The 14,550-nt window shown below is 38.4% G+C and overlaps 1 pseudogene across 1 annotated transcript; it reads left to right on the plus strand.

The window, feature by feature from the left end:
• The first annotated feature begins 6,614 nt into the window (after positions 1-6,614).
• ACTR3BP5 (ACTR3B pseudogene 5) lies at positions 6,615-8,260 on the plus strand (annotated as a pseudogene). The gene has a single exon (NR_045000.1). The product of NR_045000.1 is annotated as an ACTR3B pseudogene 5 (transcript).
• The last annotated feature ends 6,290 nt before the right edge of the window (positions 8,261-14,550 follow it).

Genomic DNA, 14,550 nt, shown 5'->3' on the forward strand with positions numbered 1-14,550 from the left:
GATGAGTAGGTATAAATTACTAGACATCTTGTTTCTGGCAACTAGGTGCTACTCACTGAGGAATCCATAGGTTTCTGTAAAGAACAGACAATAACATGGTAAATTTCCATTTGCTAATTAAATGGCTACCTTTATTTGCTATGAATCATAATTGATAATGCTTTTAATATTCTTAAAACTGCTTACATGAATTTTTTAGCTATGACCCCTTTCTGGCTGTATAGAATTTGCCAGGGTAGAAGAGGAGGATTTTGACTCACTCCAGGCAGAGAGTTAGAAGAAAGTTTCTTTCCTCGTCCCCTCTGATTATTGTCATCCTGCAAAACTGGAAGCCTTGGAGGGCTAAACATTTACTAAAATAATGGACCAGGCTGGGCATGGTGGCTCGCGCCTGTAATCCCAGCACTTTGGGAGGCCGAGGTGGGTGGATCACCTGAGGTCAGGAGTTCAAGATGAGCCTGACCAACACGGTGAAACGCCATCTCTATTAAAAATACAGACAATTAGTCTGGCCTGGTGGTGCATGCCTGTAATCCCAGCTACTTGGGAGGCTGAGGTAGGAGAATTGCTTGAACCCAGGAGGCGGACATTGCAGTGAGCTGAGATGGCGCCACTTCACTCCAGCCTGGGTAACAAGAGCAAAACTCCATCTCAAGAAAACAAAACAAAACAAAACAAAAAACAAAAAGATAAATAAAAAACACAGACCAGAAAATGTCATCTTACTGACAAATTGAGAAGACAAGGCAGTTTTTCTTAGCTGGTCTCTGGGTGGCAAAGTCTTTTTTGAGAATTCATATGTAAAACTGGCCTCATCCAACTTATGTGTAGGGCTCAAATTACATTACGTGCACAGGTTAGGGATCCCAAAGTTCTAAACCTACCATAAAAGTGTCCCTGCATAGAAGTATCCCTAGAACATTTACTAGATGCTAATTCAAAAAATCTCTAATAGACACTCCTGATCCCAGACTGCATAAAGTCAATAGAACCACTAGATAGACACTATAAAATATGTATTTTCAAAGGGACTAGATAAAATTTTTAAAAATTGCAGACATGAGAAGAAGAAATTACTTGAAAGTATTGTAAAATAATTAAATAGAACATCTAGAAAAAACTTTAAAATTTACTCAACTGAAAAAAACCCACTAAGTACTGAAATAGCAATCTAGACAAAGCTGAAGAGAGAACACAGCAAAGTAGTAGATATGAGGAAATTATTTAAGAGCATAGCACACACACAAAAAAATGAGGTGGAAAATGAGAGATTTAGATTATGGAAAAGATCTAAAACACAATTATTGGTAGTTTCAGAAACATAATTGAAAGAATGAAGAAGACATAATATTTGAGAAGAAAACTGGCTTCAAATTTTACAGAATTGATTAGGGTTTTTATTGATTTGGACACAGGAAGTCAAATGAGTTCTAATCAGGATTAAGTAAAAATAGATACTTAGATAAAATGTTGAGAAACTATAGACTACCAAAGGCAAAAATAAAATCTTAAATAATCTAGACAGAGAAAGAGAGATTAATCATAATTGAATAAACAATAGAGCAGATTCTCAATTCTTATCAGCAACAATAGAAGATGGAAGATAATTAAATAAAGTCTTCAAAGTACAGAGATAAACACAACATTCAATGTTGAATTCTGTAGCAAGTTAACTGTCACTCGAACAAAAGACAAATGAAAGATATTGTCAAACAAATACATTTAAGAACATATGCCATTTTTTACCAGGGAAAAATCTACTGAAAGATATGCTTTAGAAATATGACATAGAACCAAAAAAGACGGAACAATGTGCAAAGAAATTGGTAAAATGTAGGTTAGTCTAAACAAGTATTTGTTGTGTAACACATTACTAATGAAAATTGTTAATCAGAGGATATAAAGATAAGGTTGGGAGGTGACATGAAAAGGTTGGCAATTTATTTCCACACAAAAAGTCCCCCCAGAAATTGCAGAAATACCAAAAACAGTCATTTCAGGACCCTGAAAACTCATCAAAGGCAGTTATCAAATTTAAGAAGCATTTATTCTTGAAAAAAGTGTTAGGGTTTTGGGTAGGATTGGTAAAAGTCTGAGCCCTTCCTGACTGGGGTTGCTCCCTGATATGGTTTGGCTTTGTGTCCCCAACCAAATCTCATCTTGAATTGTACTCCCATAATTCCTATGTGTTGTGGGAGGGACCTGGTGGGAGATAATTGAATCATGGGGGTGGCTCCCCCCCATACTGTTCTCGTGGTAGTGGATAAGTCTCACAAGATCTGATGGCTTTATCAGAGTTTTCCGCTTTTGCATCTTCCTCATTTTCTCTTGCAGCCACCATGTAACAAGTGCCTTTCACCTCCCGCCATGATTCTGAGGTCTCCTCAGCCACCTGGAACTATAAGTCCAATTAAACCTCTTTTTCTTCCCAGTCTTGGGTATGACTTTATCAGCAGAATGAAAACGGACTAATACACTCCCATCTCTCTTCTCACCCCCAAGCTCAGTTGGGAAAAACTGTAGCTTTACAAGTTTGAAGCTGGATGTAAAACCCAGCAGCTTTCCTGTTAGGGCTGCGGGCAAGGGGGGATTTGGTATGGAGTGGAGGGAAGAAATCAATGGTTTTGCCAGTTAAATATAGCAGAGTGGTTTGGGAATGAACAGAGAGAATTGCAGATTTGCTAGTCTGAGGTTGCAGTTTCAATTGGGGAAGTGGAAGACAAGACAAAAATTTAAATGAGAGATCCTGAGGGTCAATAGGTGCAGCAAACCACCATGGCACATGTATACCTGTGTAACAAACCTGAATGTTCTGCACATGTATCCTGGAACTCAAAGTAAAATTAAAAAAGAAAGAAAGAGAAAGAAGGAAAGAAGGAAAGAAAGAAAGAAAGAAAGAAAGAAAGAAAGAAAGAAAGAAAGAAAGAGAGAAAGAAACAAAGAAAGAAAGAAAGAGGAAGAAAGAAAGAGAGAGAAAGAAAGAAGAAAGAAAGAAAGAAAGAAAGAAAGAAAGAAAGAAAAAGAAAGAAAGAAGAAAGAAAGAAAGAAAGAAAGAAAGAAAGAAAGAAAGAAAGAAAGAAAAGAAAGACCCACATGCAAGGTTAGAGTTTTCCAGTTCCAAGTTCCAATTCTCTCACTAAGAAGAGTGGCTCACTGTGCCTAAACTGTTTATACAAACAATGTGGTTTACTCTGAACAGCTGCTTTTCCTCTGGGAGTCTAGAATTCTGGTACATGTGAAGGAGAGTAACCTCCGTAAAATCCTGAGTACTGAGTCTCTAATGAGACTCTGGTCCTGGTAGATGACATTACACATGTGCTGTCAAAATTTCATGCTGGGAAAGAGAAACACATCCTTGTAACTCCACAGGAGATGATTCCAGGAAGCTTGTGCCTGGTATCCTCCAGACTTTACCACATACAACTTTTTCCCTTTGCTAATTTTGCTTTGTATCCATTCACTATAATAAATTAAAAATCTGAGTATTACTAAAAAAAAAAAGAGAGAGAGAGAAATCCTGGAAAGGAGAGAATCATAGAAAGTTTGAGAAAACTTCTCCACACATATGGCCAATTGGAAAAGTATGGAAGTGCAGGAAAGACTCAAGAGAGTATGACAAAAAGCAAAAATGAAGTAAGAATTGAGTATTAATTGCAACTTTGAATACATTCACCCACCCACCCACAGATTATTTGGCAGAGAGTGGAAGCCTTACTAGCTTTAATATAATGTCTCTCCAAAATCAAGCTATGCAACAGACACAGAGGAAATCCCTAGAAAGACAGGCTAAAACAACAATAACAGCAACAACACAATATAAAAGACATCAATGCTGAAAACCACTGGGCAGAAGGATTACACAGCACAAGTATAGGCCAATTACCAAAACATAACAACAACAAAGACAATAACAAATAAAAACCAGATCCAGATTTGCTATAATGTGTAATTAAAGTGTTTAGTTTTCAATTAAAAATTATCAGACATGTAAGGAAACAGGAAAATGTGGCTCATACTCTGGAAAAAAAGCAGTGAATAGAAACTGTCTCAATTCAGATATTGGATTTAGAAAGAAAGTTTTCAAAGTATATATTATAAATATGTTCAAATTAAAAGTATGATAATGTGCTGTCCAATAGAAAATATGAATAAGGGGACAGAATATGTTTAAAAATAGAATCTAGAATTGAAAAGTACAACAGTTAAAGTGAAAAAATCACTAGCGAGGTTCAATAGCATATTTGACCTTGTGAAAGAAAGTATCAGTGAACTTGAAGGTAGACCAATAGAGGTTAATCAATCTGAAGAACAAAAAGAAAAAAGAATGAAGGATAATAAACAGATCCTCAGAAATTTATGGGATACCATCAAGAGCACTAACATATGCATAATGGGAATTCCAGGAGAAGAGAGAGATAAGAGGGCAGAAAAATATTTGAAAACATGTCTGAAAACTTCAAAAATGCTATGAAAAACATTAATCTTCAGATATAAGAAGTCCAACAAATCTCTAGTAGGATAAACACAAAGAGATTCACACCTAGAGCCATCCTTGTCAAATTGGTGAAAACCAAGGATAATAAGAAAATCATGAAAGTAGCAAGAGACGACTTATCACATACAGGGGAACAGTAATATTATCAATACTGGCATTTTTATCTGAAAAAAATGGAGGTCTTATGAAGCGACATTTCAAAAGTGGAGGGAAAAATAACTGTCAATTAAGAATTCTGTATCCAGTTAAATGATCCTTCAAAAATGGAGCTGAAATAAAGACATTTCCAGATAAATAAAAATAAAAAGAACTTATCCTTGCTAAAGAAACACTAAAGAAAATGCTTTTAAGATAAAAGGATATGACACCAGATGGCAACTTGAACCTATAAGGAATAAACAGCATGGGAAATGGTAAATAAATTTGTAAGTATAAAAGATTGTATGTGTGTATGTGTGTGTGTGTGTGTATGTGTGTGTGTGTGTGTGTGTATTCTGATTTCATCTCTTTTTTTAAAAAAGCATCTGATTATTATAGGCAATAACTACAACAATACTGCTGAGTTCATAGCATATAAGAGATACATTGGATCAAAGTTGCTATATAACACTGGAATTAAGTAAAAATTATTAAACCAAAGTAGATTGTAAAAAGTGAAGATGATTGATTATTATAATCCCCAAAGGTACTTGGGAGGCTGAGATAGAAGTATTGCTTGAGGCTAGGAGTTTGAGACTAGCCCGATCAACACAATGAAACTCTGTTGATATAGTTTGGATATGTGTCCCTGCCCAAATCTCATGTTGAATTTTAATCCCCAAAGTTGGAGATAGGTCCTGCTGGGAGGTGAATGGATCATGGGGCAGATTTCTCATGAATCGTTAGTGCCGGTTAATTTGGTATTTTTAGTAGAGACAGGGTTTCTCCATGTTGGTCAGGCTGGTCTTGAACTCCTGACCTCAGGTGATCCACCCGCCTCAGCCTCCCAAAGTGCTGGGATTACAGGCATGAGCCATCGTGACTAGCCTAAGCTTTACTTTCTAAAAATTATATTAAAGTTGATAATTCTCTATTATCTAATCATAAATTATATCAAATATGCTGTTTTGAATTTTATTTTTCCCTTTAAACATAAAGACACACATTCAGTTCATTGTGCTAGATAAATTACCAGTGCGATCACAAATTAAGAAATGCAATTCAAAGAATTTTGCATACAAGGAGTCCTGAAAGTGTTAATAACTTTTGATGCAAAGATAATTTTATGAAAGTAATAGAAGACTAAAAAAAGGTACAAAACAGTTATTATGTAAGTATCTTGCTTTTTCTGAATCACCCATGATTACTTTTTCCACCAAGCAAAAACTGACTACATACTTCAGACCTGTCTCAAATCTCTCCAGCCTCTTTTCCTAAACCTCCCCAGCCTCTCAGGACAGACAGGCTGCTCCTGTACTTTGTGCATTCTGCTATTTTTAGCAAGAGGCCTATTTTGTCAGTGTTATCTGAATAGTATTTGCCAACTCTCAGACTTTCAGTCACTTATTTGTTTATGTATTTATTTGTCTCCTTTTCTTGTATTTCCCTTTTCCTTTTCTTTCCTTTCTTTTCCCCTTTCCTCCTCCCTTCCTTTGCTTACTTATTTTTTCCCTTTAATTCCCATTCACTATTTCCATGACTGTCAAATAGTAGGTTGATCCTTTAAAATATTCCTTTTTTAAAATTTATTGTACTTTAAGTTCTGGGATACATGTGCAGAACATGCAGGTTTGTTACATAGGTATACACGTGCCATGTGGTTTGCTGCACCCATCTACAATATATCTTAAGATGAATAAAAGTGGAAACACACAGGAGACAGGGTGTATGGGGTGAGTGGGTTGCCAAGTGGATGGTGGCAGGGTGCTCCAGGGTGGCCAGTGGGGCTAAGTGTTGTGTATTCCAAGCATGGCGGGCTTCCTGCCTTCCTGTGTGGCAGACTGTGGCATCAGGTAAGAGCCACTCAGTGCCCACCCTGGCTCCTCCATTGCCTTGCTCTCAGCCCCTGACATCCAGCCCACACTTGGAGATTGAGCTGCCCCCATTGCTCTGGGTCTCAGCCCTGTGATCACCTCAGTAGATATTCCGAGCTTGGCTATGCAGGCAACACTGAGCCTGCATAGTTTACTATTCTTTCATGCATTTCTGTCAGAGAGTCAGCAAAGGTAGTTGACAAAGCCCAAGGGAGAATGTTGAGGGGAGTTGATGAGCTTGACTTTTTCATACAGGATGAAGCCATTGATAAATCTACGTATGCTACAAAGTGGTCAATATGACATGGAGTCACTGAAGACTGGGATATTATGGAAAGGTTCATGGAGCAAGTGGTTTTTAAATATTTTGAGCAGAATCTGAGGACCATTATTTTGCAATGACAGAACTTCCACTGAATACACTAGAAAATACAGAACATTTTTGCAGAAATTATGTTTGAATTATTTAATGTACCAGGATTCTACATTGCAGTTCAGGAGGTACTAGCCTTGGAAGTATCTTGGACATCTCAACAAGTGGGTGAATATATGTTAATGAGTATAGTCATTGACAAAGGAGATGGAGTCACCCTTGTTCTCCCAGTTGTAGAAGGTTATGTAATTGGGAGCTGCATCAATCACATCCTGATTGTAGGTGATACTGTGTATTTCATTCAACAACTACTAAGGGAGAGGGAGGTAGGAATCCCTCTTGAGCAGTCACTGGAGACCACAAAAGCCATTAAGGAGAAATACTGTTACATTTGCCCTGATATAGTCAAGGAATTTGCTAAGTATGATGTGGATCCCTGGAAGTGGATCAAACAGTACACAGGTATCAATGTGATCAACCAGGAGAAGTTCATAATAGATGTTGGTTACAAAAGGTTCCTGCAACCTGAAATATTTTTTTACCCAGAGTTTGCCAACCCAGACTTTATGGAATCCGTCTTGAATGTTGTTGATGAATACAAAACTGTCCCATTGATGTGCATTGTCCACTGTATAAGAATGTTGTTCTTTCAAGGGGTTTGACCATATTCAGGGATTTGAATCTCAACTACAGAGAGATTTGAAGAGTGGTACATGCCAGATTAAAACTCAGTAAGGAGCTCAGTGGCAGGAGAATCAAACCTAAGCTTACAGAGTTTCGGGTGGTAATCCATCACATGCAGCACTATGCCTTATGGTTTGGAAGCTTAATGCTAGCCTCAACTCTGGAGTTATTTCAGGTCTGTCACACCAAGAAGGACTATAAAGAATATGGCCCCAGCATCTGCCACCAGAGCCTTCTCTTTGGAGTAATGTCTTAGTGTCTGCCTTGAAAGCATCATTTAATAGTGTCATGTTGGGGAACAAGTGTCCTTCAGAACCCAGAGAAGACTACCATTTCTAAATGACATTTGGTGTTGACGTCTGAGCAGTATGCTTGCATCACCTAGTGCATGAGGCACAGGGCAGAGTCATTTCAGTAAAAGCCTGTCTTTATGTGTTGACTGCTGTATGCCCACTCCTCCTTCTCTCACTCCCTTTCTTCATGCTTCCCCGGTTTCCCTCCTCCTTTTAACTTCAACTTTTTTGTTGACAAATACCATTCTGAAGGAATTCAAATGTGACTCTGAAAATTGTTAAGAGGAAAAAAAATTACAAAAATGGCCCAAAATAGTTCTCCCCCAGGAAAGAATGCAGTGGTATAAATCCTTTTCCCCCAGCCTATTTTTATAAATAAAACGTTATAAACTTAAAATACAAAAAACCAATAACATAGCAATATTTACAGGATGCAATTAAAGCAGTGTAAAGAGGAAAATGTATAGCTTTAAAAACAGAAAGAAAAAATAATCTAAAATTGATAATTAAAACTTCCATCTTAAGACTCTAGAAAAAGATGAGTAAACCAGGCCGAAATTAAGTAGGATGTATGAAATAAAAATGTCACAGTGGAAAACGATAAATACAGAACAGGATAACATTAAAAACAACCAAAGAAACCCAAAATTGCTTATTTCAGAAAGTCAAGAAGATAAATAATATTTAGTTAAATTGACCAAGAAAAAAGAAAGAAGACACTAATTCCCAAAATCAAGAATCAATGAGAAATATCACCACAGACCCTACCCTTAAAAGGATGTTAAGAAAATAGCATAATAACTTTAAGGCAAAAAATTTGACAACTTAGATAAAACAGAACAATTCCTAGAAAGACACAAATTACCAAAACTGACTCAAGGAAAAAGAAAAAAAACAAATACCAATATCAAGTAAAGAAATTGCATCAGTAATTTCAAATCTTCCTATAGAGAAAAAATATACTTCACTGGTGAATTCTATGAAGCTATTAAGGGAGGAAATAATACCAATGTTACAAAAGCTTTATTCAGCAAATAGAGGATGAAGGAAACTTCCCAACTAACTTTATTTCATTTGATATCAATATTACCCTGATATCAAAACAAGACAAAGACATTACAAGAAAACACAGCTATATACCAATATCCCTTGTGAACCTAGACATAAAAATTCTTAACCAAATATTAGCAAATGTAATTGAGCAACATATGAAAAGGATTTTATACCATAATCAAATGAAGTTTATCTCAGGAATGTGAGGTTGACTTAACATCCAAAAATCAATGTAATAAACTATATTAACAGAATAAAGGACAAAACCATATGATCACCTCAATAGATGCAGAAAAGCATTTGACAGAATTCAACACTCATATATTAAAAAAAATCCCATCAACTTATGAATAGAAGGGAACTTCTTCAAATGATCAAGGCATCTACCAGAAGCCTATAGCCAACATACTTAATGGTAAGAATGTGCTTCCCTCTAGATTAGGAAACATGCAAAGATATCTGTGTTTACCACTTCTATTTAACAATGCACCACAGGTCTTAGTTTGTGCAATAGTCAAGGAAAAAAGGTATGGACAAAAGACAACTCTTTTTATTGTTAGCCTTGTATGCAGAAAATCCTAAGGAACACACCCACACACACACACCCACATACCACACCCCCTCCCAGACTTACTAGAACTAAGAGGGGGGCTTAGTGAGTTTGTAGAGTATATGATCAATATACAAAAATTGGTTATATATATAGTAGCAACAAACAATACAAAGATGAAATAAAGAAAACAATTCCAATCACAATAACATCAAAAATAAATGTCTTAGTTTGTTTTATGTTGTTATAATAGAACACCTGAGACTGTATAAAGAGGTTTATTTAGCTCATGTTTCTCCAGACTGGGAAGTTCAAGAAGCATGGCACCAGTATCTGCTTAGCTTCTGGTGAGGGCTTTAGCAGTGCATCACAACATGGCAGAAGACCAAAGAGGAAGTGGGAATGTGCCAAGAGGCCAAACACAAGGTACAACCATGTACGATGGGTTGCTTTATAACAATCCATTCTCAGGGCAACTAATCTATTCCCACAGGAACCAATCCAGTTTCATGAGAGCAAGAACTCACTCACTATATGAGGACTGCACCAAGCTGCTCAAAATGGCAGAGCCCCCATGACCCAAGCGTCTCCCATTAGGCCTTACCTCTTAAAGGTTCCAACATGATTTTTGACAGAAAGACGGAAACTATGGCATTCCACCCTTGGAACCCCAAACTCATGTCCCTCTTACACTACAAAATGTAATTATTCAATCTCAATGGTCCCCAAAGTCTTAATGTATTCCAGTAACAATTCAAAGGTCAAAGTCCAAAGTCTCATATAAGACTCAAGGCAAGTTCCTTCTAGCTATGAGCCTGTAAAATTAAAAAAAAAAACAAGTTATTTACTTCAAGATACAATGGTGGAATAGTCATATGGCAGACAGTTCCATTCCAAAAGGGAGAAATAGGCCAAAAGAAGAAAGAGGTGACAGGCCTCAAGCAAGTTCAAAACTCAGCAGGGCAGACACTAAATCTTAAAGCTCCAGAATAATTCTCCACTCCATGTGCTACCTCCTGGGCATAATGGGGAGTTTTTATCACTAAAGCCTTGGGCAGCCCCACCTCCATTGCTTTGTTGGGCATAGCCACATGGCTACTCTCACTGGTTGGAGTTGGATACCTGTGGCCTTTCCAGGCTGAGGTTGCATGGTGGCAATGGCTCTATAGTTCTGGAGTCCCAGTGGTGGTCCACTTCATGGATTCACTAGGCATTGCCCTGGTACAGACTCTTTGTGGCAGCTCCAACCCTACATTTCTGCTCAGCATTGCCCTGGGGGAGGTACACTGCAGTGGCTCTGGCCCTGCAACAAGTCTCCACCTGAGCTCCAAGTCTTTTCAGTACATTCCTTAAAATCTAGGTGGCATCCACCATGCCTCCACTTCTCTTGTATTCTGCACATCTGCAAAACTAGTACCACATGGTTGTAAAAACCATCAAGGCTTACCGCTTGCACCCTCCAGAGTGCTGTCATGAGCTGTATCTGAGGCTGCTTGATCCATGACTGCATGTCACCAAGGTTTATGGTTTGTATCCTGTGGAATGGCAGCCTGAGCCACACCTGAGTATGATTGTGCCATGGCTGGGGTGGCTGCTGAGGGCTGTGCCAGAATTTGGGTAGCAGGATCTCAAAACAGCACAGGGCAGTGATGCATGGGTTCTGTCTCTTAAAACCATTCTGTCCTCCTAGACCTCTGGAGAGGCAACCTCAAAAATTTCTGAAATGTCTTCAGGGCCTTTAAAAAAATTGTCTCAATAACTGTCAACTGGCTTTCTTCTCTCAGTGCTAATCTCTTTAGTATTGGTTGTTCTGCTGCACCCTTGGATTCCTCACCTTAAAATGTTCTTTCATTCTCTTCCACATGGCTAGGCTATTAATTTTCAAATTTTTGTGTTTGCTTCCCTTGTCATTTTGCATTTCACTGAATGTAGTAAGGAGTAACTACATAGCTGCTCTATATTTTGCTTAGAAATTTCTTCTGCCAGGTACCCTAGTTCATCACTCTTAAGTTTGGCCTTCCACAAAACCTTAGGGCACAAAGTCTTAGAAACAACACAGCCAAATGTTTGCTATGGTCTAACAAGGATGACTTGGTCTCCAGTTCCTAATACCTTGTTCCTCATTTCTATCTGAGATCTCATTAGAATGGCCTTTGCTGTCCATATTTTTATCAGCATTGTGGTAATGACTACTTAACCAGTCTCTAAGAAATTCTAAACTTTCTCTCATCTTTTTGTTTTCTTTTGAGCCCTCACTGAAATTATCCTTAATGCTCTGTTTATGGCAATACAGTCTTTTTCTAGTCTGCTCCTTCAAACTTTTCCAACTTCTGCCCATTACCCAGTTCCAATGATGCTTCTGCATTTTTGAGAATCTAAATAGCAACATCCCACTCTCAGTACCAATTTTCTGTCTTAGCCCGTTTTGTGTTGCTATAACAGAATACCAGAGACTGAGTAATTTATAAAGAGGTATATTTAGCTTGCAGTTCTGCAGGCTGCAAAGAATGACACTGGCATCTGCTTGGGTTCTGGTGAAAGCTTCAGTGTTGTGTCACAACATGGTAGAAGAAGGTCAAAGGGGAGTAGACATGTACCAGGAGGCCAAGCATGAAGCGTGACCTCACCATATAGCAACTCATTCTCATGGTAACTAATCCATTCCTGAGAGAACTAATCTCACAAGAGTGAGAACTCACTCACCAATGTAAGAATAGTACCAAGCTGCCCACAAAGGAAGAGCTCCCAAGACACAAACACTTTCCATTAGGCCCCACCTCTTAAGCGTTCCAACATGAGTTTTGGTAGAGACACTCAAACTATAGCAATAATAATTAGGAATAAATTTAACAAAATAAGTGTGAAACGTTTGCACTGAAAACTAAAAAACATCACTCAGATAAATGTCTAAATAAATGGAGAGATATATCATGTTAATGGATTAGATTACTCAATATTGTTAGATGTCAATTGATCTACAAATTAACGGCAATTCCTGCCAAAAGTCTAGAAAGATTATTGGAAAAATTGACAAGCTGATTCTAAAATTATATAGAAATACAAAAATACCTAGAATAGCCAAAACAATCTTGCTAAGTAAGAATGAAGTTAAAGTACTTAATACTGCCTTATTTTAAAATTCAGTGTAAAGCAACAGTAGTCAAGACAGTGTAGAATCCACATTAAGAGAGATAGATAGATCAATGGAACTAAGTGGAGTTCAGAATCCAATCACATAAATAGTCAATTAATTTTCATCAAAGATGCTAAGACAATTCAATAGGAAAAAGATGTTCTTTCAACAAATGATTCTATAAGAACTGGTTATTCATTTACAAAAACTAAACCTAGATCCTTAGGTCACATACGAAAATTAACTAAAATGGATCATAGACCTAATTGTATGAGCTAAAACTGTAAAACTTCTAGGAAAAAAAATATAGGAGAAAATATTTATGACCTTGGACTAAGAAAAGTTTTCTTAGATATAATATCAAAAACATGTTCTATAAAAGAAAAACAGATAAATTGGACTTCACCAAAATGATGAAATCTTTGCTTTTCAAATATTTCTTAAATAAATGAAAAGAGAGGATCGTTCCAAGATGGCCGAATAGGAACAGTTCCTGTCTGCAGCTCTCAGCATAATTGATGTAGAAGACAGGTGATTTCTGTATTTCCAACTGAGGTACCTGGTTCATCGCACTGAGACGGGTCGGACAGTGGGTGCAGCCCACAGAGGGTGATCCGAAGCAGGGCAGGGCGTCGCCTCATCTGGGAAGCAGCACAAGTGGTCGGGGGATTTCCCCTTCCTAGCCAAGGGAAGCCGTGACAGACGGTACCTGGAAAATCCGGACACTCCCACCCTAATACTGTGCTTTTCCAATGGTCGTAGCAAATGGCACACCAGGAGATTATATCCCATGCCTGGCTCAGCGTGTCCCATGCCCACACAGCCTTGCTTACTGCTAGTGCAGCAGTCCGAGATCGAACTGGAAGGTGGCAGCCTGGGCTGGGAGAGGGGCATCCACCATTGCTGAGGCTTGAGTAGGTAAACAAAGCAGCTGGGAAGCCTGAACTGTGTGGAGCTCCCTGCAGCTCAACGAGGCCTGGCAGCCTCTGTAGACTCCACCTCTGGGGGCAGGGTATAGCTGAATAAAAGGCAGCAGAAACTTCTGCAGACTTAAACATCCCTGTCTGACAGCTCTGAAGAGAGCAGTGGTTCTCCAGCATGAAGTTTGAACTCTGAGAATGGACAGAGCTGCCAGTAGGGATTTACTGACACCTCATACAGCCAAGTGTCCCTCTGAGATGAAGCTTCCAGAAGAAGGATCAGGCAGCAATATTTGCTGTTCTGCAGCCTCCACTGGTGACACTCAGGCAAACAGGGTCTGGAGTGGAACCCCAGCAAACTCCAACAGACCTGCAGCTGAGGGTCCTGATTGTTAGAAGGAAAACTAGCAAACAGAAAGGAACAGCATCAACAAAAAGGACATCCACACCAAAACCACATCTGTAGGTCACCATCATTAAAGACCAAAGGTAGATAAAACCACAAAGATGGGGGGAAACCAGAGCAGACAAGCTGAAAATTCAAAAAATCAGAGCGCCGCTTCTCCTCCAAAGGATTGCAGCTCCTTGCCAGCAATGGAACACAGCTGGATGGAGAATGACTTTGATGAGTTGACAGAAGTAGGCTTTAGAAGGTCAGTAATAACAAACTTCTCTGGGCTAAAGGAGGATGTTCGAACTCATTGCAAGGAAGCTAAAAACCTTGAACAAAGATTAGATGAATGGCTAACTAGAATAAACAGCATAGAGAAGACCTTAAATGACCTGACGGAGCTGAAAACCATGGCACAAGAACTACATGATGCATGCACAAGCTTCTGTAGCCGATTCAATCAAGTGGAAGAAAGGGTATCAGTGATGGAAGATCAAATGAATGAAATGAAGTGAGAAGTGAAGTTTAGAGAAAAAGAGTAAAAAGAAATGAACAAAGCCTCCAAGAAATATGGGACTATGTGAAAAGACCAAATCTAAGTTTGATTGGTGTACTTGAAAGTGATGGGGAGAATGGTTTAGACATG

The sequence above is a fragment of the Homo sapiens genome, chromosome 10, assembly GCF_000001405.40.
Source record: "Homo sapiens chromosome 10, GRCh38.p14 Primary Assembly".
Classification (NCBI taxonomy): Eukaryota; Metazoa; Chordata; class Mammalia; order Primates; family Hominidae; genus Homo; species Homo sapiens.